The sequence below is a fragment of the Homo sapiens genome, chromosome 1 (genome assembly GCF_000001405.40).
Source record: "Homo sapiens chromosome 1, GRCh38.p14 Primary Assembly".
Taxonomy (NCBI): domain Eukaryota; kingdom Metazoa; phylum Chordata; class Mammalia; order Primates; family Hominidae; genus Homo; species Homo sapiens.
The window spans coordinates 224,677,139-224,703,758 of NC_000001.11; the positions used below are offsets into that span (position 1 = coordinate 224,677,139).

General features: G+C 45.6%; 1 protein-coding gene across 16 annotated transcripts in view, besides 1 other annotated feature; it reads left to right on the forward strand.

The window, feature by feature from the left end:
• The window catches only part of CNIH3 (cornichon family AMPA receptor auxiliary protein 3), a 305,915-nt gene that overhangs the window by 242,499 nt on the left and 36,796 nt on the right, over nucleotides 1–26,620 (forward strand). For 15 of the 16 annotated variants that reach the window (NR_136289.1, NR_136290.1, NR_136288.1 and 12 more), the window contains 2 exons: nucleotides 3,820–3,888; nucleotides 7,658–7,705. Coding sequence is in view for 5 of the 16 variants with exons in the window: in NM_001322302.2 (NP_001309231.1) it covers nucleotides 3,820–3,888; nucleotides 7,658–7,705 (117 nt within the window). In the remaining 11 variants the exon portion in view is untranslated. The remainder of the gene's footprint in view (nucleotides 1–3,819; nucleotides 3,889–7,657; nucleotides 7,706–26,620) is intronic. The other variant, NM_001322305.2, reaches the window with a different exon arrangement.
• Nucleotides 20,997–21,498: an enhancer, noted in NCBI's record as "NANOG hESC enhancer chr1:224885837-224886338 (GRCh37/hg19 assembly coordinates)". NCBI's record gives its function as "activates a minimal SCP1, AML or CMV promoter by ChIP-STARR-seq in naive H9 embryonic stem cells {active_cell/tissue: H9 hESC(naive)}" and the evidence as "EXISTENCE:reporter gene assay evidence [ECO:0000049][PMID:30033119]".

Genomic DNA, 26,620 nt, shown 5'->3' on the forward strand with positions numbered 1-26,620 from the left:
AGGTAGGTACTATTATTGGTTCCATTTAATCCTTTGGGTGGTCAGAGGATTAAATGATAAAAAGCATGTGCAGCATATAGCCCGGCAGCTGACATGGTGAGCAGACAATACATGAGAGCTGTTATTACAATCGTCTTGATAGCCCTCATCACACTGTAGCACAGTGGCCTGTCTACATGGGGGTCTTCCCCTCTAGACTAGGAAGTTGGTGAGGACAGGCACCGATCTTGTTGATTTTTGTGTCTCCAGTGGTTAGCCCATTGCCTGTGTCTAAAGGATGCTGGCTGAATGTTAGGTGAATGGATGGATACATTAGCGAGTAGCCACTGGGTGTAGGGACGCTGAAAGCCTTTGTCCTCATGGGTGCACTGCCATCACATCATCAGAAAGCACCCATGAAGGACCTCTTATCTCATGGAGCTCAAAGGCATAAGCCACACTTCAGGCCTCTTTCCTCTGCGCCATCCTCTAGGTGAGGCGCTGAGGTGGGCCAAGGTAGGGGTCGCTGGCTCTCAGCCTGGCTGAACAGCCCCAGATCCCCTTTGGCTCCTCTCTGCTGCTTCAAGCTCCAGCTACTTTTGCTCTATTCAGTCTAGACCCACCTCCCTGCACTCAGACAGAGACACAGGCCCTAGAGCAGGACTGGGGTTGGGGATTGTCCACAATGTGGGGGCTTGGCTCCCTTTCCTCCATGGGTGCCCAGTCTCTTTGTGGGGGGCCTATATGTGGGGCACTAACAGTTGTGGAGTTCTGCAGCTGTCCAGATACTTGCTTTCAGTGACTGTATCAAAATATAGTAAACCGTCTTTATAACTGTATAGATAATAGGTGCCAGGAAAACCGATGTCAGCCTTACAGGAGCTAGGAATGGTGAGCTCAGAGCTCTGGCCTTGGTCCCGCTTGGTCTACATTTATATCAGGGTAAATGTGGATGTGGGTATTGACGATACTGTGTTTATTAGGATTTATATAATAGTTGGGAGATAGGTCATGTCTCAAAAGATTGGACCAGTAGACCATATTGAATAGGGAGGAATTAACCAGGATAAATATTAGTTCCTGCTCTTAGGCCTCCAAATCCAACAATGCTTGTGCAGAATGAGGTGGACTGAGTTTAACTGAAGCACATGAAAAGACCTAGGGCTTTTAATTAATTCGAATTCAGTATAAAGCCAGGAATGTGATATGGCCACAAAAAAGCTAATGCAATCAGATTGGATTAAAAGAAGCATAGACTATAGAACAGAGGAGGTGAGTGACATCTCTACTGTCTGTGCCAGCCACCCTCACCTTGAATCAAGTGTTTAGTACCGACAGTACTTTACACACTTTAGAATGGACATTTACAACCTGAAACATCCGTGGTGGACAATCAGGATGATGAGGCAGCTTAGCGCCAGTTTATGTAAACAATGGTTGGAGAGATTTAGCTTGAAGAGGAAAGATTTGCTGGGGTCCCTGGAGCTGACAGTACTTAAAGGGGTTCTTTGTGGAGGAGGGATTTGACCCATGCTATGTGCCTCTAATGCAGTGCTGTCTGATAGCACTTTCTGTGGTGATGGGGATGTTTTATATCTGTGCTGTGTAATAGCTACTAGATAGATAAGGTTGTTGAACAACTTAAATATATCTATGAACTGAATTTTTAATTTAATTTTAATTAATTAAAAGTTTAAGCTTTAATAGCTGCATGTGGCTAGAGGCTACTGTAGTGGAGAGGATAGCTCTAGAGGGCAAATGAAAGAATAGGCTGGGGTCAGCAGATTTTTTTCTATAAAAGGCAAAATAGTAAATATTTTGGGTTTTGTGAGCCTTACAGCCTGTAACTACTACTCAACCCTGCCGTTGTGCAAAAGCAGTATCGATAAAAGAATGAATGCTACTATATTCCAATAAACCTTTATGGATACTGAAATTTGAATTTTAATATAAGCTTCACATGCCACAAAATATTCTCCTTTTTGGTTTATTTCAAGTATTTAAAAAAATGTTAAAAACATGAAACCCCATCTCCACTAAAAATATAAAAATTTTTTTTTTGTATTTGTATTTTTTTTTGTACATGGTGGCACACGCCTGTAATCCTAGCTACTCGAGAAGCTGAGGCAGGAGAATTGCTTGAGCCTGGGAGATGGAGGTTGCAGTGAGCCAAGATCTCACCACTGCATTCCAGCCTGGCTGACAGAGTGAGACTCTGTCTCAAAACAAAAACAAAAACAAAAACTAAAAAACAAACCAAAACATTCTTAGCTCACAGGTTGAACAAAAATGGGTAGCAGGCTGGATTTGGCCTTCAGGCTGTAGTTTGCTGACCCTGGCTTAGGCTGTGGGTGGAAGCTTCAGGGAGTCATATATTATAGTTTAATAAGGAAAGCAATGATTAATTAGAGGTAGCCAGAAGTGGAATGAGCATCTTCAGTAAGTGGTGAGTTTCTTGTTACTGAAGCGTTTAAGTACAGGCTGGATAATTATCTGGCAAGGGATGATATAGAAATGTGTTGGTTTAATACAAGTTATACTGGAATTTTCTTCAAATTCTGTAGGAGGATTGAAATCAGGATGACATATGACTGCTTTAAAATTCTACTTGCTTTGTAGAGGGAAGTTGTTTTCTCTCACTTAATGCTTACTGTCAGCCCCATGTTGCTGGATTGGGGACATCTGGGGGCGGGAAGCTGGCTTCCTTGCTTCAGCAATTCTACCAAATGTTCAGGGACCCCTGGGATGTGCCTTCCTGGGGAGTTGGTTATGTCTGTTTATTTTATTTTCCTTTTTTTCTCCTGCCTCAGCCTCCTAGATAGCTGAGATTACAGGTGCATGCCACTATACCCAGCTAATTTTTGTATTTTTAGTAGAGACGGGATTTCACCATGTTGGCCAGGCTGGTCTAGAATTCCTGACTTCAGGTGATCCAACCGCCTCGGCCTCTGAAAGTGCTGGGATTACAGGCGGTCATGTCTGTTTATTTTCAAAAGGAGAGACTTTACTGGGAGCACCCAAGGCTTCCACACCCTAAGAAAGGACACTCCCCTGGCCAAATCCCACCTTGTTCTATTATTTATTCCTTCTGTAGCAGACAAGGTAGCTGTGGTGAGGATGTGGGCTTGTGAACCTTCACCTGTCAGTTAGGTCCTTCTGTGGAGGGCCGTGCCTCATTCTGTGACTGGAAAAGGTCCTCTCCAGCATTCTTTCCTCCAGGGATATCGGGAAAGTGTTGTTCTCTGGGGAGTTCTGAGTCTTCATCCAAAATGAACTGTAGGACTGAAGTCCAAAGGACTGTGCTTTGAAGTGCTGACTGCCCAGGAGCTGACCGTCCAGGCTTGTGGACATCTAGACATTTGGTTATTTCTATTACTGTCAACTCTACTGCCTTGTTTTTCTCTTTTCCTTCTCACCTGACTTCTGTCTGTTTCACTTCCAATCACCTTTTCTGCCCAAATACACACAAATAAAAAATAAATAGCTCTTCCTGGAAGGAAAGGGGCTAAAAGTAGTGGTTTGAAGTTTTAATTTTTTTGTGCTTTTATCTAAATCCAAACCTGCCCTCAGCACAGTAGACTTTCTTTACATCTTTGTAGAGCACAGATACTTAAAAAAACTTACTGGGGACAATTTTAAGCGTACACAGTAGACAGAAGAATATAATCAACCCCATGTGCTTATTGCCAGCTTCGACAGTGACCAGCTGCTGGCCAATCTCATGCCATCTACAGCCTCTTCCTTTCTGTTGTGTTATTTGGAAGCAAATCCACAGAAGCTTTGGACATGGTGTGTTGACTCGTGTGCACTAACACCTCAAATCTCTGTATTCTGTTTCAGATAATTGCCTTTGATGAGTTAAGGACAGATTTTAAGAGCCCCATAGACCAGTGCAATCCTGTTCATGCGGTAAGTGGCGGGTACTGGTGAGGGGAAGGTGCTATCACCCCAGGCTACCCAGGGCCTGGGAAGGAGGGTGAGAATGTGAATGATTTGAATGCGTAAAGAACATGCTCGCCCTCACTGTGCCTCTCTACCTGGCTCAAGGTTGTGGAGGAGCCTTCTCATTCTTGAAGTGTGCTGAGGTCTTGAGATATGTTGCAAATCAGATGTGACTGTCCCAGTAACCCAGGGGAATAGTCTACTGTGCTGTGGCCCTTGAGTCCTCAAAGCCTGGTGCTCTTGTGTTTTGGTTACTCATCCTTAAACAAGAAAAGAGGCTCCATGTTGGCCAGCATGTTTGCAGGCACGTGAGCACCATGAGTGGATGTCCGTGCTGCACTCTCCACCTGGGCACCAAGTGGAGACGTGGAGGGTGGGTTAATGCACAAAGTCCCTGGCGCCATCCATCACCCAGAAAGCATTCATCTCAGGTGGTTCTGTGGGCCTGAGATCAGCTCACCTCTGCCTGGAGGATTTGGTGCAGTCTGATTGTCCTGGTCTGGGTTCGGGAAGTGAAAGGTCACCTGCCCCAGCATGCGTGGTGCCTGGCATCTTCCTGCTTGTCTGGCTTGGCAGGCCCTACATGCTGCCCTTCCCCTGTGCCCTGGCTGTGCCTCTGACTGGGAGCTTCTGAATGGATGCTGGGTGGGGACAGGTGTTTTGGCTGTTTGTTTCCCTGGTCAGTGTAGTCCATGTCCCGGAGCCAGAGACCAACCCTGTATGTGGACAGAGCCTTTTCCAAACTTACTCCCTACCTGCACTTCTGAGTTCAAAGGGTGGTGCACACACAGTTCATTCAAGTGTGTTTCTCAATCCAAATTCACTGGTTCTGTGTTTAGTTGAAGTTCCTTCCAGGCCATGGTTTCCAGCGCTAAGGCAACTTTTTGCCTCTTTGAGTAGCTTTGTTGACCTTTTCAGCCAGAAGTCGTAGAGAGAACAACAGGCTCTGCTAGCGTGATACCGTCTTAGCTTGGAATGTTTGTGGCGTCATTCAGCAGGGACAAAGAGGTCTCTTCTCCTTAGCTGCAGGCCTTATGAAGAAGGATATGCTTTTAGGGAGGTACCAAAAGACCATATGGAAGAACCGGGATTCAGTGTCCCTTTCTATAGAGTTATTACTGGAGTTGTCATTTTTTTGAGTTTTTATTATGTGCTAGGAACTTTATATACATAATCTGTAATCCTCACAATAATGCTATGAGACAGGCATCATTAACCCAATTTATAAACCACAAAATGGACTCGTTTGTACAGGGATTTATAGCTCATGAGTGCTGCAGCTAGGACTTGAACCCAGGCTTGCCTGTCTCCAAAGTCTCTCATCCTGCCATCTACCCTGTGTTGCCTCTTTAAGAGACCTGACTTTATAATATCTGAGGCCCACTTTGGCATCATATTTTTTGATTCCATGAAATAGAGACGAACTCTTTCAAAGCAAATTTTAATGCAAGTTTAAAGAACCTGCAAGATCCACTTGAAAACTTGCTGTATTTCATGAACTTATAACTATTAAAATCCATTTTGTTTCCATCTACCAGCCTCACCATGCACCTGGGATAATTTGGATCTGTCAGTCCTGAAAGATTTCACTCTGGGTCTCATGTCTTTCTGGATGTTTTTGTGTTTGGCACCAACATTACACGCCTGGCCTGTCAATATCTACCAGGTGCAGTGAGCGGCTCTAGTCTGAGAGACACCTTCATTTAGGAATGCCAGGCAAGACAAGAACCTACTTTCCTTCCTTCTAATTGTTTGGGCTCAAATTAATAGGCAGCTCACTTAGAACACCCAGAGCTTTCTTGTCTGATTCCAGGGCAAATGCTAGGGAAGGAATTTGTCCTACTGCTCAATTCTATCATGCAAATTCCATGCTGGGTTGCAGGTGATTGGTGAAACCACGAAATATTTTTGTGGAACCCTTTCCATCTCACCATGGCAAAGAATAAGGAAATTTAGACAGAATGAAGAAAATCAGGACTAGTATATGCTCTCCGGGAGCTTCTGTGAAAGGCCAGTGCAGGAATAGAATTTGCACATAGTAGGTGCTCCATGGCTATTTGTCGATTAAACAATGGGTGAATATTGAAGTGGTGGCATAGAAGTTAAATCTCAATTCACTTTTTTTAACTCCTGTTATTAAAGGCATACTTCTAATTAGTAAACTGATTAATTAAGGAGCCTGGGCCCTATGAAGCTCATGGACAGAATAAAGACTCTAGGTGCCCCATGGGGAAAAGACTCTTGTCTCAGATTAAAAACAAAAACAAAAACAAATAAAAACCCTAAATGGAAGACTGCTAGACACATTTTCCCAGTTCTTATGCTGTTACTCCCTGGCAGGAAGTTAAATGCTTCAGATGCCTCATTTAACTCTTCTGCGAGGTCTTAGACCTCTATAGAGCCCCCAAGGCAGCATTTCAGACTCAGGTGGCTTAAAAAAGCTACTTCACTGATTGGTGACTCCAGTCCTGGAAGTACTTGTGTGTCACAAATAATTGCTGATCCATATGATGCGTCTCTCAATGAGGGCATGAGGCCCATTTGGATTTAAGATGCCCTGAAGCTCTCAATATCGTTGGACCCTCTGGGATGGAAAGGAGGAGGAATGCTCGGTTTTACTCCTCGTTTCTCATGTTTTCCCTTCCTTTTACCAGCTGGGCATTCAGTATTACTTTAAAGTAATGGTAGATGTTGTCCTTCAGGGGCTCTGGCTTGCTGGAGAAGGAGCTAGTGCGTGTCTTGTAGCATTCCCTTTCGTGCGTGTGTGCACATAAGTATGTGTGTTTGCGTGTGCACATGTGAGGAGGATGCAGTGTGTCTTTCCAGCCATGTGGACACTAATTTGTCCTGATGTGGGCTTCTTCCTCTGGGCTTACAGGATGCGCAGGAATCACTATATTTATGATTTAATTAGGCAAATGAAGTGTCCCAGCCACCTGTCCTTTCCAGAGCCATGAGGAATCTCATTACCATTCCATCTACAGCAACCAAATTGCCTCAGTAATGAAGCACCGGGAGATGCCACAGCTGTGTTCAGTGTGGCTTTGGAAATCGTTAAAGTCACTGAAGGAAAAGGGAGGCAACGGCATTTAGTGCACGATGCGGGCATCATCACCTGCCCAGCCACGGGCCATCATCTCATCTTCCCTTGGCAGTGAGCCAGGCCTTGACAGACTCGAACTTCTTAAAAAGCCTTAGCCTGGGGGCATCATTGTTGTCTAATTTAGTAGGGAGATTACTTCCTCCAAGTAGACTCACTTTAGAAAAATAAAACCAGCAGGCAGAGAACTTGTCTACCTTAGATACTAATGAGGGCACATACGCTCTTCGAGAACTAAGTGGGAAGGCCTCCTGGGAGGGCCGGCTGCAGGCTTTAGGATGCTCCATGAACACGAGGTACCATTCAGCAGTTTGACCACCTTATACGTACATGGAGGCTGAGAGAGACTTTGTAGATAAAGGAACAGAAATCCGTGCTGGACTGAGAGGGCAGTTGAGCCCATGCTGTTTGCTGGGAGAGTTCTGCTAAGAGCAAATGACCATGACAAGGTACAGGGAAGAAAGTCAGAAACTCTGTTAGAAAAAGCCACTGGGTGGGAGCATGCTGGCCATGTGCCCAGGAGGGGTCTCTGGTGGCTTCTGCCTCCACTATTGGGGCTGATTGCGGGGCCTTCTCATGCTATTTTAGCAGAACCCCTAACCTCCCCTCTCATTTCTTTCTTGTGCATCCTGATAGAGGGAACGGTTGAGGAACATCGAGCGCATCTGCTTCCTTCTGCGAAAGGTCAGTGTGGCAGCTTCATGCCGAGGATGGAGGATCGCATGGTGGTGGGTGGGCACACAGTGAAAGAGGCTAGTGAGGCTCTGCCTGCTCCAGTCCTGTCCACCAGGGAGGCAAATGGTGGCAGGGAAAGGGGGAGGTGGGAGCAAGTGATCAGTTCTTTGGAAACCTCCAGAGACAAGAGGAGCTAATTAAAGGAGGTGGCCATCAATCAAAGTGTCAGGACAGCACTGGGTATTTGCAAGTACCCTCTGGTTGGAGTTATAAGCTCTTTATCTTTGCATGATGATGGATGGCATTTCCAGCTGCTATTGCCACAGAGCCTTTGTTCTGTGTGGGGCTGGGCTCAGGAACACTCCCCGCCGACCTTGGGAAGTTTTTAACTAGATGCTGGGTTTCCTTTGAGGTTGCAGCGTGTCACGCAGCTTTGCAATTTGATTGTCAGCATCACTGTAAGTGCTGGATGGGTGGGATGAGGCAGTGTTACTAAAGGCAGAGTCACGTCATTCAGAGAGTTGCTCTGAATGGATGGGTAGTACGTTACAGCTTCCCCAGACTCATTCAGGAAGCGCATGTGGGCACACACAGTTCAAACTTGGTATTTAGCATAGCTCTGTGCCATAGCTGGGGGCCCCTGTGTCTCTTTCCCAAAAAAGTGTGTGCTTTTTGCAGCAAAATATGGAGAACGGCAACTTGCCGGTAAAATAACCAAAGGACATCCCTAACCTCTGTACAGAGTGGATGAACTACAGGCCATATGAAAGCCACCTGTCAGCCCAAAAGGATTTTTTGAGCCTTACATGAATAGGACAGAAATAAAATGTTATGCCAACATTGATAGAAGGGGAAAATACTTTGCAAGCTTTTAAAGTTTTTTCTGTATTTCAGTAATGATACCTTTCATTGAGAGAGAGCTTAATCAAGCAGCCGGTTATTTTTCTAGCTAATTACTTGTCTTTTAATGTCTTCTAAGAGAGCCAGTGTGTTAGAATCCCATATCTTGTATGACACAGCAGGGAAATATGCTTGGATAAAGCCTATATATGAAAATATTTGTGATCCAAGGAATAAAGAATGATTAGGAAAATAACATAATATGAATTCACAAATTTATAAATTATTTTTCCAGATAATGTCTTGGAGACCCATAACCTGCTCCAGCCAGTACTACTTTTTTTTTTAATACTTTAAGTTCTAGGGTACATGTACACAACGTGCAGGTTTGTTACATATGTATACATGTGCCATGTTGGTGTGCTGCACCCATTGACTCGTCATTTACATTAGGTATATCTCCTAATGCTATCCCTCCCCCCTCCCCCCACCCCACGACAGGCCCTGGTGTGTGATGTTCCCCTTCCTGTGTCTAAGTGTTCTCATTGTTCAGTTCCCACCTATAAGTGAGAACATGCAGTGTTTGGTTTTCTGTCCTTGCGATAGTTTGCTGAGAATGATGGTTTCCAGCTTCATCCATGTCCCTACAAAGGACATGAATTCATCCTTTTTTATGGCTGCATAGTATTCCATGGTGTATATGTGCCACATTTTCTTAATCCAGTCTATCATTTATGGGCATTTGGGTTGGTTCCAAGTCTTTGCTATTGTGAATAGTGCCCCAGTAAACATACGTGTGCATGTGTCTTTATAGCAGCATGATTTATAATCCTTTGGGTATATGCCCAGTAATGGGATGTCCAGCTAGTACTTCTATAGTCTCTGGGTTTGTTCTTTAAGACTTGATGCCTAAGTGACATCAAATGGATCAAGACAAAACCAAAGTTTTGCCTTTCAGACTCCAAGTTGCCCTTTTTTCTCCCATCCTGGATATACCATCCTGTATTCTCTGGCAGAACAATGTTCCATATCCATCACCTTTTATCCTTGCTTATTCTTTTATGCTGCTTGACCAGTGACTCCGGCCAGGCAGCAGGCAATGGCCAAGGTCCTGTGGCCCACAGACTTGCAGCCCAGAGCTAAGGGTATGAAAGTAAGCACACTATGCAAGAATTAGCATTACTTTTTGCAGATTTGCATATCGTTTGCATAAGTTCCTATAAACAATAAACTGAGGCATTTTACTCCAAGGAACACTGTACTCTACCTCTTCCTGCCTTTTGCCCCTTTCATTTGTACATGCTCCTTTTTCCCACGCCACTGCCTCTGCTGCAGCTTCTGGGAGGTCAAATGCAGTTGCTACTCATCGTCGTGGAAAATACCGGGGAGAAAAGGTAGGCATCAGAGGACATGAGACAGTGACTTCAAGACTTTAGGTGTTGTGGCTGCGTGATCACACCTTCTGCAGCCTGACAGTTTTCTAGCTCCCACGGGGAGTAGCACTGGAGTGGCCAGCACCTCTTCACTAACTCAAGGCAGAAATAAGCCATGTACCTACAACTTTATTTATTTATTTGAGATAGGGTCTTCTCTGCCACCTAGGCTGGAGTGCAGGGGTGCAATCATAACTCACTGCAGCCTTGAACTCCTTGGGCTCAAGTGATTTTCCCACCTTAGCCTCCTGAGTAGCTGGAGCTGCAGGCATGCACCACCATGCCTGGCCGACTTTTTTATTTTTTGTAGAGATGGGTTCTTGCTTTGTTGTCCAGGCTGGTCTGAAACTCCTGGCTTCAAGTGATGCTCCCAACTTGGCCTCTCAAAATGCTGGAATTACAAGGATGAGCCACCATGCCCAGCCCAGCTTGCTTTCTTTCTTTGTGGAATCTCCCTCCTCCTCCAGTCCTCTTGCCCTAAGCACATCTACTTTTAACAATTGGTTATTAGTTCTTTTGTGTGCCCTGGATACCTGAGATTGTTTTCAGTGATGTCATCATTGTTACAGGACCACCAGCTTCGTACCAGGACCACCAGCTTTGCACCCTTGCACAGTAACAGACCAATACACTGAGACGGTGGGAGTTGCAGCAGAGAAAGAGCTTAATAATTGTATGGCAGCCAAACAAGGCACGAGGGAATCTCAAATCCACCTCCTCGAGAAGTTTTGGGCTGGGATTTTAGAGGGAATTTTGGCTGAAGAACTGGGGGTTGCTGATTGGTTAGGACATGGGAGATGAAATCATAAGGATGTAGAAACTTCATTCTTGTACTAAGTCCGTTCCTTGGAGGGAGTCTGCAGACTGGCTGGTGTCAGGGGGCCTGATGGAATCAGGATCTAGAAAATATCTCAAATGGGAAACTTGAGGTTTTTTAATGTTAAGGATGTTACCTGTAGATGTTAGGACCTTGTGACAGAGGCGATGGGACTAAGCAGTAAGCGGCTATAAGGAGATGGGCTATAGGGCAAGCTGGTTAATGCTTAGTTATGCTTCTGTTTAAAGCTTATGCTTTTGTTAAAAGTCAAGCAATTTTGTTTTATTAAGTTTAGGAGGGTGATTTCAACATAATTTCTTTCTGAATGTAATTTCAAATTATAGGTGCTTCTGTCTGTCTGGCCCTTGAGGTCTGACTGTAGCTCACATGTTATTTAGCTTAAGTTGGTAACACTGTTCTCCCAAAGGCATTTAGGTCCTGGGCATGCAGGTCTGTCTCCTCTCACTAGAATGCCAGTTCTGGATGGTCAGCAATTTTGTTTCATTCACTGTCATGGGCTGTGACATAGAATGTAGAGGAACGCATAGCCCACTGAAGGTGCTCGGTGAGTATTTACTAAGTAAGTGAGTGAATGAGTGCCAACTTTCTGGGACTTCTGTCATCTAAATCCTTCTTCTTGGGAACACTGGCTTAGTCAATAATCTTTCCATTTCTTCATTTCAGTACTGTCCGTGACATACTACAAAATTTACATATTTTACTACATTTACTCCTTATATAGGCCAGGCGCGGTGGCTCACATCTGTAATCCCAGCACTTTGGGAGGCCGAGGTGGGCAGATCACCTGAGGTCGGTGACCAGCCTGGCCAACATGGTGAAACCCCCACAAATTAGTCGGGCGTGGTGGTGGGCGCCTGTAATCCCAGCTACTCGGGAGGCTAAGGCAGGAGAATCGCTTGAACCCAGGAGGTGGAGGTTGCAGTGAGCCGAGATCGCGCCATTGCACTCCAGCCTGGGCAACAACAGCAAAGATCTGTCTCAAAAAAAAAAAAAAAAAGATTTGTATTTAAAAATTGAATTTAACTCAATATTGTATTCATTATTGACACAGAAGATCTCTGACCTACAGTTTCTTCAGTCCGATTTTCTTCCATAATGCTTATACCCTCTGCCCCCTTGTAGTCTGTATTTCAACCATCCTAATATCTGCTCTCAGCCACTTCCGGGACTTTTATATTTGGAAGGTTTTGGTGAAGCGTGCAAACATCTACTGCTTCCAATCCTGCCTCTGCCCTTATTATCCATGTAACCCACAGTGTGTGCCTCAATGTGACTGTAAACTAGGGGTAAAAATAACAGGACCGTGCTCATAGAGGTGTGTGAGAATTAAGTGAGGTAATATGGTACATCTGGCTCATAAGTGTGCAATGCATATTAAATGTTATTATTATCATCCTGACCCTTAAGTTCTACCTAAAACCCTTTATGACATCACTAAGCACACACTTGGCCAGCCGAGATAATCCTTGGCTGGTTGCATCCCCTCTTAGCATCCCCTCCCATTTTCTTAGGTTAGTGCCGTTTAGTGTTTGAGCAGCATCACACGGTGGGCCGGCCTGGGCCTCCTCCCTCCCGTCTCTCTCGTTTTGAATGGGCTTCTGAGTTCCGATTCCCAAGCTGTGAGCACATGTTGGGGATGGCGGGGAGGGTTAATGGGTCTAGTTAGCAGCACCACCTTCTGGGAACTGCACCTTCCAAGAATTTCTTGGAACGAGCCTCCTAAACACCCTAGAATGTGATGCATCTCAGCAGCTGATTGTTGTTAAACCACCTCCTCAGCTTTCTTGGGAGAAAGGAAGGGATTTTCAAACTGGATCTGTTTTTAGCTCTATAATTATCAGAAAATGTGTTCTTTGGGTAATTGTCTGAACTGCAGGATTCTTGTGTTGACTTGTGCTCATGATTCATTTTTTTGTGGCAAGAGCCAGTTGCCTCTTGAGCAGCTCTCCCCACCAGAGCACATCATAAGCTCTGTGGGGCCCCTACAAAGTGCAGGTTTGGGAGCAGGAAGCATCCTGGAAGGCAGAGGTTGGTGTGACTGCCGCTTTTGGGCATATAAAGGGTTCTCGTGGGGAGGAGGCTGACTCCTGTTGCATCTGCAAGTTTAGCGAGTGGTTCGAGGAAATTAACTTAAATGTGAGCCCAAATGATTGGTATGAGAATAAGGAGAAATGTGCTTCATCAGTGGTAGTCATCAAACTTTGGGACTGGTTGTGAAATGTTCACATCCCTTAGACCAAGTTAGTTATTTTCATTTTTATTTTTTATTTTTTGAGACAGAGTCTCACTTTGTTGTCCAGGCTAAAGTGCAGTGGCACGATCTCGGCTCACTGCAACCTCTGCCTCCCAGGTTCAAGTGATTCTCCTGCCTCAGCCTCCTGAGTACCTGGGACTACAGGCATGCACCACCATGCCTGGCTAATTTTTGTATTTTTAGTAGAGATGAGGTTATGCCATGTTGGCCAGGCTGGTCTCGAACTCCTGACCTCAGGTGATCCAGTCTCCTCAGCCTCCCAAAGTGCTGGGATTACAAGCGTGATTACAGGCACCCGGCCCCTTAGATCACATTAGACAAGTTCATGTCTGAGATGATTTTGAGTTAGATTGAGGCTGCCCAATGTTGGGGACATTTAGTTGCATAGTTTGGGATGTCCCTTCTGGCTTGACAATTCTGTGATTCTCCAATTCATGTCCCAGTTTCCCCAAGGATTTGTCCAGTCCCACTGCAGGTTTTCCCTGACATTTGTGAATATAAAAAGCTGTAGTGGGTGGATTATTTTCATTCTTCATTGGGCATTCTCATCACCACATGGAGGAGAAGGGTGTGTGGGTAGGCTTTGAGGGTGAGTGGGCCATTGAGTTTATTGGAGAGCCTGCTGGGAAGGGGCAGGTGCTCCAGGTATAGTACCGGAAATGCAGTGGTGATATGACCACCGGTGCTCCCACTAATGGGCACCTGTGTCGGTTTCTTGTTAAAGCTTCCCAGAGCCACAGCTCTGTCTTACGGAGGAGTTATGATGTGAAGTGAGGCTGCCAGTAGCAGCCTGAACCCACTGCACAAATTCCATGATGTGGTTCTGAAAGCAGGGGTTGGAAGAGATGGGAAGTGGATATGACACTTTCCCAGTGAAAAGTCAGTCTTGTTAAATGAGGAGATTGCATTATTATTAATGCTTCCTTACCCTCCCCTCTCTCCAGGACTGTCTACATAATTGGCAGGGCCTGGTGAGAAATGGCAATGTGAGGCTCCATGTCAGAAACTGATGCCAAACATTCAACCAAAGATGGGGCCCTTCCCAGCTCAGGGCCTTGTGCAGCTGCACAGGTCACAGGCCCCTGAAGCAACTCAGCCTGGTCTCCGTGACCTTTGCACTATGACTTTGCAGTTCCTCCTCCTATAAGCAGAGTATATTTCCTCTCCCCACTGATACTTGGCTCTGCCAGGTGACAGGACTTGTCCACTGCAAAGTGGGCAGGCGTGGGAGTGTGTGTCAAGGCTGTGAGAGTCATTGGATATTCCTGTGTTCCCTTCCGAAATTCTGTCATTGACAAGACCAATGCACTGGTTCAAGGAGGATGAGAGGCATGGGGAACCTACCTGAGCCCACCTGTATCTCAAGGCCAAGCCTGCTAGAGCCAGTGACTGCCAACCATCCTTTAGATGTGGGAGCAAGTATAAATGGTTATTGTTTTAAGGCACTGTATTTTGGAATGGTTTGTTACATAACATTCTCATGGCAACATTCCTGACATGCGTAGATGTAAAAAGCTGTAGTGGATGGATTATTTTCATTCTCTCATTGGGCAGAGTATCTTAGCTCCTGGTATCTCATTGATACCATAAGCATGTGGCACTTCTAAAAGGGGAAAACTTTTTTCTTAAAGTGATCTTATTCTTTGCCAGAGTCCAGCCATTCTTTGACTCTACAAATTTACAAATAGATGGTTTCAAGCTTTGTCCAAATTTCTTTGACCTAAGTGGGGGCTACTAAGTACATTTATAAACCAGAACTTAGAGAAAGATCTATGTTGCTTTGGTGCACAGTATTTGTCATGTGCTAACAACTGGAAAGGGCAGGGCGCAGTGGCTTGTGCCTGTAATCCCAGCACTTTGGGAGGCAGGAGGATTGCTTGAGCCCAGGAGGTTGAGATCAGTGTGGGTAACATAGTGAGACCCCCATATCTACAAAAAGTTAGTAAAATAAAATTAGCCAGGCACGGTGGTGCACATCTGTAGTCCCAGCTACTCAGGAGGGAGGGTGAGGTGGGAGGATCACTTGAGTCCAGGAGATTCAGGCTGCGGTGAGCCAAGGTCATGCCACTGCACTGCATCCTGGGACAGTGTAAGACCCAGTCTCTAAAAACAACTGGGAGGAATGGAGAAGATGGTGCCTTTTTTCTCTAATTACTGGCACTCCTCGCCACAAGGGATTGACTTCATTTCAGTTCTTTTTAGCTGTTAATACGGTTCTTCCTACAGGGCTCTGGAGGGAATGGCATATTTTAATTGAGGGACATGATACGTGAAAAGGGATACGTAAACTCAAAGGCAGTTGTGTGGAGTGCCGTAGAGAGACCATCCTTGACGCAGAAGTTTTCTAGATCAGAATTCTCTGTTTCTTGGGAGGATTTCTAAAGCATGGAAATAGTGATGCTGACTACTGTATGCCTTTAAAAGTATTAACTCCTTTAATCTCACAACAACCCTATGAAGTAGTCATTATTAAAAGCCACACTTAACAGAAAAGGAAATTGAGGCTTAGAGAGGTTAAGTATATATCCGAGAGTCTCCTATTTCTTAAGTGATAGAGCTGGGATTTGAAGGCAAGCCCATGTGACCAGAGTCCACATTTCTGATCACCACATTATAAGGGAGATTGCTGCTTCTTTTCGAAACATGCTCCTTAAGGACCACCGCTACAGTAACATGGCTCAGCTGTTTTAAAGGGAAGCTACGGATACCGAAACCACATAGGGCCTCAGGGAGCCTGTAAGATGCTTGGCTCACTGTTGATGGGTCCGAGTGGATTCTTTTAAGGCTCTTTTTCTAATTTCATTTAACTTCTTGGTAGGGTAGTTCACCCCTGGAGGGAATATTTGAAGAGAGGTAAAAATATCCTGGAACAAAAGTTGTAACTAGTTCAGAAACCATGTCTCATGTATAATTTATTTTCAGACGCTTTCCGTGGCAAACTCCTTGTTAGTCAGAGGGAAAGAGGGAACATTTTCCTTGATGCGTAAACTGTGGTGCTGTCATGGGGTTGCTGAACCAGAAGTTGGAGGGGACTTGTCCTCACTTCACTCCTTCCCTAGGGCCGCAGCAGGCGAACTGAAGACTTTACAAACAAATCCCTAACACATGGGCACTGGCTTTTCACTGGGGATCTGGGTAGCTGGTTGGCCCTATCCTTGTTAGTTCTCTATTGCCCTGATAATAAGGTATCAAACCAGCTTACAGCAACCATAATTTATTTCTCACGAGTCCATGGGTCATGTGGTCAGTTCTGTTGACCTTGGCTGCGCTTGGGCAGGGGGGATGTTCTTCTGGTCTTGGCTGGAGCTCATTCTTGTATCTGGTGGGCAGCAGGCCATTAGCTCATCTCAGTCAGCCTCAGACACATCTCATCCTCCAGCGACCACCTGAGGCTTGTTCTCCTGGTGTAACAGAGAAGCAAGAGAAGAAGTGGAAATGCGCAAGCACCTTTTCAAGCTTTGGTCAGCATGGGGGGACTACAAAGTTAGGGGCAAAGGGTGTGGATATTCTTCAGTCAGACCTTGCTGCCTTGATTGTGAAAATTCCTATGCTAGGATCGTATCAGGAAGTAGCAAATGTTAGAGTCTGCTGGTCTCCAGTATTCGTCATTAGTGGAACTGGTGGTTTCTAATTTTTTTGCATATCAAGATCACCTCTGGAGATGTTTCAACATATATCTGCTTAAGAATCACTTCCAGAAGATCTGCTCCAGTAGTTCTTGCGAGGGTCTAGTCATCTGTATTTTGAAAATGCCCCATGGGGGGCCACGGTAGAGAGACACTCTGGGAAATATTTGGTGACTTGAGTGTTTGGTAGATGTTCTGGGGATTCCTAAGCAATGCCAGGATGGCTCCCCAGGGTCTGGAGAACTGGATCTGTGGAGGAGGAGAGGAGAGGGACAAGAGCTTCCACCCAGAGAAGTTGACAGCAGACAGATGTTGCCAGCTGCCAGCTCCTTTGCAGACAGCCCAGGATGAGCTGAGCCCTGGACTTGGGAGCATTTCCACAAGTTGCTATGTCCTGGCTGTGTGTGGAGAGAACACCTTCCTCACCTGAGACACAACAGAAAGTTGGTTTTGAGATGAATGTGGGGCCGTCACAACCAGTTTCAAAAAGTAAAGAAGTCCAGCAGCCCTCATGGCAGCAGGAGAAGAAACCCTAAAACTGTCAGGGACTTTAGGTTGTGTCATTGAGAGGGTCCCTAAACCTGGCTGTTCCTCACGTTGAATCTGGATTGATGATTAAACATACGACTCCGCAAGGTAGATTCCTATCCACCCAGGATAGTTAATTTTATCTGTCACCTTGGCTAGGTCACGGTGCCTAGATATGTGATCAAACATTGTTCTGGTTGTTTCTGTGAGGGTGTATTTTTTGGATGAGGTTAACATTTAAATCAGACTTTCATTATATGAAAAAGACACATGCACACACATGTTTATAGTAGTATAATTTGTAATTGCAAAATTATGGAACCAACCTAAATGCCCATCAGCCAACGAGTGGAAAGAAAATGTGGCATGTATACACCATGGAATACTACTTAGCCATGAAATGGAATGAAATAATGAAATAAAGGCCTTTGCGGCAACTTGGATGGAACTGGAGGCCATTATTCTAAGTGAAGAAACTCAGGAATGGAAATCCAAATATCATATATTCTCACTTATAAGTGGGAGCTAAGCTATGAGAATGCAAAGGCATAAAAATGATATAACGGGCTTTGGGGATTTTGGGGGAAAGGTGGGAGGGGGTGAGGGATAAAAGACTACACGTTGGGTACAGTGTACACTGCTCAGGTGATGGGTGCACCAAAATCTCAGAAATCACCACTAAAGAACTTATCCATGTAACCAAACACCACCTGCTCCCCAAAAACTATTGAAATAAAATTTAAAAAATAAATTGGACTTTGAGTAAAGCACATTATCTTTTCTTCTGTGGGTGGGCCTCACTCAATCAGTTGAAGGCCTTACTGGAGCAGAAAGACTGAGCTCTCCTGAGCAAGAGTGGATTTGGCCAGCAGTCGGCTTTCAGACTTCAACCACAACTTGACTCTTCCGTGGGTCTCTGGCCTGCCAGCCCACTCTGCAGATTTTGAACTTACCAAATCTCTACAGTTGCATGAGCCTGTTCCTTAAAATCTCTCTCTTTCTAAACACACACACACACACACACACACACACACACACACACCCCTGTTGGTTCTGTTTTACTGGAGAGCCCTAACTAATGCAGTCCCCTCAATTCTGGTAAGTTCAGGTTCAGCAGGTTTACAGAGAGGCCTGGAACTGCTGTGAACCGAACCTTCACAGCAACCCTGTGAGTTGGGTGAAATTATCTGCTCACCAGATGGTCAGTACCTTGTTCAAGGTCACCCAGCTCATAGGTCTGGTCCCAGAGTCCATGTTCACAGTCCTCAACCCTTGCTGCTTCTAATTCCTCACATTCATAGGAGTCCGTTATTTTCCATAACTTTACAGAGCTTCTTACCACTGCCCTAGGGGCCAATCTCTGCAGGGCCTGTGAAAAGAATGATGATCGCTCAGGCTCCCCTGTAGTCTGGACCAGATGAAACTAGGCTGGTCCCCTTACTGCATTCATCGGCAGAGGCAGAGCAGATTGTCACAGCCTGACCTTCTCAGCAATAAAGATTTAGGGACTCTTGGGAGTTTTGCTATGAGAAGTCACCAAATCATTGATTGTTCTGACAGAAACAATTTGGGTTTTCATAATATCCTTCTCCTCTCATTAATGTAACAAGGAACTCTGGGATCGTAGGATGTGTGAGAGGCAGGAAAGCGTATTGGGATATGGGTTTGGGTCTGTGAGTAACAGAGACCCACTATAACCGTGACTGAAACATGATGGGGCTCACTCTGCCTTGGGAGGCCTGTCCAGGCTGGAATGGGGTGGGTGGGACTCGGCCTCACAAAGCTGTCTAGAGACCCAGGCTCCTCCCATCTTTGGAGCTCTGTCATTTTCAGGGAATTTCCTTGTCCATGTGGACCATGAGGACATCACATCATGACCTCCTTTCAAGTAGCAGGATGGAGGAGGCAAGAGGAAAAGGGCCATTTCTTTGAAGGAAGTGACCCAGAAGTCACACACACCACTTCTCTTTAACTGTTTGGCCAGATCTTAGGCAAATGGCAGAATCTAGTCTTGATTCTGTGGGGCTGTGTGCTCAGCTCAACATCAGGGACTTTATTCCAGAGAAATGGGAGTGAGGACTTAGGAGGACGGCTGCAGATCTCTGTCTCATGGAGGAAGTCGGTCAGCAGCGCAGCCTGTGCAGGGCACACAGCCACTGATGTGCACTCTGGAAAACTAAGGGCAGGAATGTGAGGTGGGAGAGGAGCAAGACGAGGTGTCACAGGTTGAATGATATTAAGTGGGACCTGGAGGAGGCTGGGCATTGTATGGGTTGTGGGGAGCTGGGAAGTGCTGGCTGTTGGCTTTGATGGAACAGCCCAATAGGTACCAATCTGAATTTATTCATTCTTTCAACTGGAATTCATTTAGCACCTACCATGTACATAGTTGGTTGTTATGTGCTGAAGGGGATAAATTTGTGTGTGTGTGTGTGTGTGTGTGTATGTGGTGTGTCAGTTGTGAAGACATGCTCAGTACAGCTAAAAGAAATCTTGCTTTTTCTCTGCATTCCTGCCTGAGAGTCCCTCAAAGCGCTGATCACCTAGCACCTTATATGATAGTTGCCTGGACATGTATTTTACACAGTTGTATTCTTGAAGACAAGGATACCGTCCTTCTGGTTTCTGCAACTGCTACATTGCTTAGCATGGTGTCAGATGCATGTTAGCTAGCTGCAAAGTTTAGTCAACACGAGACTGGCAACCACAAATACCATGGGCTATGATTTTCATAATGCGTGAGCAGGAATTCCCACTGCTGAGCATGGGATAAAGGCATGTGGAGAAGACCAGAGAAAGGCCATGACAGGTGTGACGTGCTTGTCACATCAGAGCACCCTCAGTGCCCAGTGGGGGAGCATTGTAGTGGACCTAGTTAGAGCGCTAGTTTGCAACCTTGGCTGTACGCCGAAATTGCTTGCGGAGGTTAAAAAATCCTGCTGCCTTTGTCCCGCCCCCCGGAATTTCTGAAGTGCAGCTTGGCACTTGTTTTTTTAACAGCTCTCCAGATGATTCTAATGTGTAGCCAAGCTGAGGATCACTGAGTGGGAGAATAGTGCAGGTGGGGAGGCATTTTCACTCTCTCCGTTCTCCAGGGTATGATTTAGAGAGCCGTAATTTTCAAAATGGTAGCAGAGTAAAAGCAATAATTTGCCAACAGGTGCCCAAGTGGACTGAAGGAGTTACTTCCTAAATTCCAGGGAGATGGTCAGCCCAGTGGGATGACTCATTGCAAGTCATCCACGAGCCACGTGCTTTTCATGGTGGGAACTCTGCTTCCAGATGCTTCATTTTCCAGAATGTGATGAGAAGTAAAGATTCTGTTTTTCAACCCCCAGAATGCTCACCCTTCCAGGCACTCATTCTTGCCCTTTTCCAAATTGCTGAAGAAGCAAGAAACATTTCTGGGTCCTGTTTCTGGGCCACAAAATGGGCCAATCTTACAAATCCTAATAACCTCTTATTCTTGGTTGCATTATCCAGTCTCTGCCTCTCACTCTTTCCAACTCCTACTGCCCCTCTCTAAAGGTAAAACCATGCCAGCCTGTACCTAGGTGGGGACAATAAGAGAGAATTCCTCTGAGCTCCCAGCTTGTGCTGAATTAATTCGCATGCTCCAGACATATCTTCTCCCCACGGAAAAGCTGCATTGCCGAGTTATCATGCTGGCTCCATTTGTAACTTCTATGGGACTTGTTATTCCTTAAGCAATTTGGGGCATTGGTCCTCCTCCAGAACTGAGTTTCACTGGCTCTGATTTCTGAGCTGTCTGTGTGGCACAGACAATTACACAACTCATGGAGTTTTGTTTCATTAGGATAAGACCCAGCAGTAGACAAGAAAATGCACTGAATAAGTTAAATGTGCTATACAAATGCAAAGTGCCATTATTATAAAGGGACAGAAAAGCCATCCTGTTTCCTTTCTGTATCAGCCAAATGGTCAAAGCAATGATGAGATTCTGGAGGACAATGATCACCGATTATAGCACAAGGAGGTAGGCGGGGAACACGCAGCAAGAACAGCTCTGCTATTGTGGCCTTTTAGTGGTGACATCACTGCTGTTACCACTCAGCGCACCAGCATAAGGTAGCACCAGTGCCACTGGTGTCCTGGTGGGAACCAAATAAAGGAACCACTTAGGCAGGGTGTACTGATAAATGACAAACTATATGTCTTCTGAGAGAAACTGTAGAAGTCTCTGCATGAGCTAGACTTTAATACATGCCATTGGGTACTTCACATTTTTTGACAGTGGTGATACCAATTGCCAATGCTGGGTCATTCTGAGTTATTGATAATGTATTTCAAGCACACATATTCTGGGCTTTAAAAGGAAGGTAGGTATAGGTGGAATTCAGAAGGTATAATAATTTGTAAAAAGCGTGCTTTCCTTAGCAGACTAGAAGATGAGTAAGGGCACTAATTGTGAATCTGGTTCACTTGCGGAACTCTGCCTGCAGCCAGCGCAGCACATAGCCAGTAATGCTTTGCTGATGGAATGAATGAATGAATGAATGAGTGGAACAAACTCCATGGTGACTGCTACATGCTTTACATGTGCTACATGCTTTACAAGTGTTTCACTTGTTCTTACCACACTGCTGTGATGTGGAGATGGGGAGCTGAGAGGTCACTTAGTAAGTGCAGGGTCTGGATTCACACCCAAATCCCTGCCCTTTCTGATAGTCCTTATGTTCCATGCTCTAGGGATTGAAGACACGTTTCCCTACTTTTCCCAGAATACTTCCACATCTTTGAGTTTTTCAGAGCAAGCTTGGCACCATCCCTGGACATTCCCGGGCATAACCATTCCCAGGATCCACCATTAGCCTCATGCGGATGGGCCCTGTTCTCTTCTCTAGTCTGACTACCATCTCTTCTCCACTGATTCTCACCCTCCAAGTCAAAAATGGGCTAAGAAGTTTTGACCAAAGGCATTGTTTCAACCTCAAGAGACTGTTGAAACTGATGTCTTGAGAGAAAGAACCTTCAGAGGACACTGTACCCCCTTCTCCTGGCCCTTCGGCAGCTGAATGTCAGCCAGGGGTGCCATAACACAGCAGCTGGGTGGCTTTAGCCACAGGCATTCTTCTTCTCACAGGTCTGGAGGCTAGAAGTACTAGATCAACGTGTCGGCAGGGTTGGTTCCTTCTGAGGGTTCTCTGCTTGGCTTGTGTATGGCCACCTTCTCACTGTCTCCACGTGATCATTCCTCTGTGTGTCCGTGTCCTAATTTCCTCTTCTTTAAGGACACTAGTCATACCAGGTTAGGGTCTATAGGGTAAATCCATCTGACAGCAATAATTTAAGCATACCTTTAGAATGGCCCTATATGGCAGATGCATCTGAATGTGTGTTCCAAGCTGGGGAACCTGTGTGTGGCCAACCCAGAGATTCATACCTTATCTATGATAAAAATCTGAGCCCCTCACCCCCTACCTGTCCCACTTGTCAGGGACATGCACTGCACAGGGGATTGAGGCCCTGAGCTTTGGGTTGAATGAAGGTTGCCATGTGGGGGTCATTAGGGGAGAGTGTTAAATGAAAATGTCTTATAAGCTGCATGATGTTTGCAGGAGGTTGTGGTTTTCTTGCCTGCCCTGCTTCCACTGGGCCCTGCGGTTATCTTGTCTGGCCCACCGCCTACTGGACTGTAGGAAGGTGGATGTGTTGTCCAGCCCACTGCCACTGCACTGTAGGAAGGCGGATATTTTGTCCAGCCCATCACCGCTGGACCATTTCTGTATATAAGGTAGTTCTCCTGTCCAGCTTGCCACCACTGGACTCTCTCCCCTGTATGGAGGCCACTAATAAAACCCCACGTCTTGTTTGCTAGCTCTGGGTCTCTTCTTCAGACTCTTGAATCTGGTACCCTCCCTAGTGAGGTTAATAGGGTCTTGGCAATAATAGGGCCCACCCTAATGACCACATTTAACCTAATTGCTTCTTTGAAGACTCTGTCTCCAAATACTTACTGTCCCATTCTGAGGTACTGGGAGTTAGGGCTTCCACGTATAAAATTTGGGAGGACATGTTTCAGTCTGCAACAGGATCTCTGCACTAGAGAAGAGTTTTCATGGAAACAACATCCCATTGGCTAGGAGAAATGATTTACCTGCCCTTGAATTCTGTTCTTTGGTGAATGGCAAATAGAGTGAATAGTGAGTTTCTGGGTTTTAATTTTCCTAGCACTTTCTCATTATCCCAGATGTGCTTTAGAGAAAGAAAGGGCAAGACTTGGATCCTCTTTCATTGGGTTTTATTGTGTTTATCAAGATCAAAAGCAAAGTTATCCTCAGTAAAGTCTGTGAATACTTTCTCCCATCATTCTCCTGGAGAAAGGGCCCAAACAGAAGGGACTGGGTCCTGCCTCTCCATGCTACCACACCTCTTGCAGGGAGCAGAGTGCAGAGCCTGTCCCCTGGACCTAGATGGTTGGCTCAACACATGTTGGACAGGGCATGGGTCATTCGTCATTCTAATTAGCTCCAGTGCCTGTTTCCCCAGCAGGCACAGAGTCAGGACAAAATCCACATCTGCCATGTGAACTTCTGCAGAGGTGCCACTTGCTGAGTAGGGCCAAAGTCATGTAATTATTGTAATTATTTTTGTTTATGGGATGTCCCTTCCCAGGAGATCCCAGGCACTTCACTGCCCAGAAGTTGTCACTTGAGAGCAGGACAGCATTGACCCATGCTGGGGCTGAAGGAAGTGATGAAGGGCCCTGACCACCCATGGTGCTATGCTGGCTGCCCGGAAGCCATGGCATGCATAAGCTTCTGGAGAGGCCACTAGGGGGTGTCACACTGCTATGCAGAGAGTGGAAGGGGGGCTCGGGTTCTTTTTTTTTTTTTTTGCTGGAGGAGGCGAGGTTAGCTAGACATGGAAGATTGGTTCTCAGTGGCTATCTTTGTGCTGCTATAACAAAATACCCTAGACTCAGTGGCTTAACAACACAAATGTATCTCTCACAGCTCTGGAGGCTGGGAAGTCCAAGATTAAGGTGCCAGACAATTCAGCATCTGTAGAGGGCCACTTCCTGGTTCATAGACAGCTGTCTTCTTGCTGCAGCCTTACATGGTGGAGGGGCAAGCTCTCTCTGCACCCTTTATCAGGACACTAATCCCATTCACGAGGGCTCCACCCTCATGTTGTCATCTAATCCTAATCAACTCCCAGAGACCCCACTTCCTAACACCATCACATTAGGGGGTAGCGTTTCAACATGTGAATTTTATGGGGAGATGAACATTCAGCTCGCAACAGAGGCTTAAGTGTTTTTTTCTATAACAACATTTATTAAGGTATTATATGTGGTATAATATGCCAGACGTTGTACAAAGTGCTTGGTTGGATGATCTCACTCGCGACAGCCCTGGGATGTAGACATCGTTATGGTCCCCTTTACACTGAGGAGGAAATTGAGGGACAGAGAAGTTAAGTAACATAAGCTAGTACATGCAAAGCTGGGGTTTAAATCCAGGCAGTCTTTCCTTGGAGCATGCTATTTCATTTTTCGTTATTAATTGTTTCAGTTATAAAAATAATATGTTCATATTTTCACTAGTAAAATGATGCAAAGTTGATATGAAGAAAATATTAATAAGCTGCCCCACCCTTGTCCTTCCTAACTCTCTGACATAAAAGCTGGGTTTGTATCCTCCCGTCATGCTGTATCTCCACTTGCATTTAGATAGACAAATACATGTATGCACAGATATACACTCCAGCTCAGTTTTTTTTTTGTTTCTCTTTCCTAATAATGGAAAAGTTGTTTTCCTATAACTAGTTTTTTCCCCACATACCATTACATCACCGATACCCTTGTAGGTCAATAGCTATAGGTTTCTCTTAAAAATAATTACACAAGCTTTCATAATATTCCATAGTACACACAATTTATTTAGCCATTTTCATATTTATAGACCTTATGTATGTTTTCAGTTCTGTTTATTTGGCCCCAACCCTGCAGTAAATACCTTTGTGGGCTTATATCCCAGGAGTGGGATCGTCAGGCAAGAGGGTATATAAATTTATACTTTTCTTAAAATTGTCAGATTACTTTCTCAGACAGGTCAAAGCAGATGTATTCCCACCAGCAGTATAAGAGAGTGTCTGTTTCCCCACACCAGCGTCACCATGACTGGATGCTCCAGGGTGCAGGCTGGCCTGTTGCAGAGGCGGCCTTCTGTCCTCAGCCCCAGGCGCAGCCCAAGGTAGATGCAGAATTGAGCAGTCAGGAACTTCTTCTCAGAGACCAGCTTTCTCAATCTCAGCAGCACATTTCAACCCACTGGGGGACGTTTAAAACCCAAGGATCCAGATGCAGGACCCCACCCCCAGAGAGTCTCACCTGATTGGTCAAGGGGGCACAGACCGTGGTGTTTTCAAAAGCTCTCAGAGGATTCTGATGGCCTGCCAAGGTGGAGACTTCTACTAGAGACCTTGCAGACACCAAGATCCTAACTTCTCTTTCCCCTCTCTTCCCTTCCCTCTCATTTCTTCCCCACTCCTCGGGCCCTGTCCTTGCTGGTCGGGGGAGACTTCGCTGAGATAGTATCCTCTACCTTTACTGTCCTGGGCCTGCAGAAACACATTGGTTGTAAGGGCTAGCTTTTAATTTCCATGTCCGAACCTCATCATTGAATTGGAAACTCAGGAGGTGAGGTTAGGGCCTCAGCATTTTATAAATGCTGCCAAGATAGCTCCAGTATGCAGGCAGAGGCAAACCATTGCCCTGTTTTTTTCCAGAGCAGGAAACACTTCTGACCTCTCAAGGTCCATCTGTCCTGGCTGGTCAAAACCTTTTTTCTACCTGTTGGAGGGGCCAGATTTTGAGGAGCCAGTGACCTAGTGTCTGTGCATCCCACGTGGGCCTGCACTCATGAGGGCAGAGGGCTGGCCAAGGTAGACGTGACCACCGGACCAGCTGAGCCACGATGGGCAGCTTGAATGTGTTAATGAACATGAAGCCTGCTTAGCAGAGGGGCTCAAACTTTGCCGCACATTAGAATCACCTGGGGGAAATTTTAAAAATCCTGATGCCCAGAATTCATCCCAAACCAATTAAGTCATAATCTCTGGGGTGAGACTCAGCATCAGTATTTTACAAAGCTCCCCAAGTGACTCCACTGTGCAGCTAAGTTGGAAAAATCAGTGCCCTAGGGAGCATTTTGCAGTGTTAGTTATCATGGTTAGGGCGCTGAGTTTCATCAGCCTGGCTGTGCTGATGGGGAGCTACTGCTTTCCTATTAGCATTGCTGCCTTTACCTGCCTGGTTGCCTCTTTCAAGCCTCCCTACCCAGTTCTTGAGCTAAGAATAGAGTTTCCAAAGCAATTTGTTTCCTAAAAGATAGAAGTTCATCTTTTTTCATGAGGCAAAAATATTCCTAGTATTTTTAT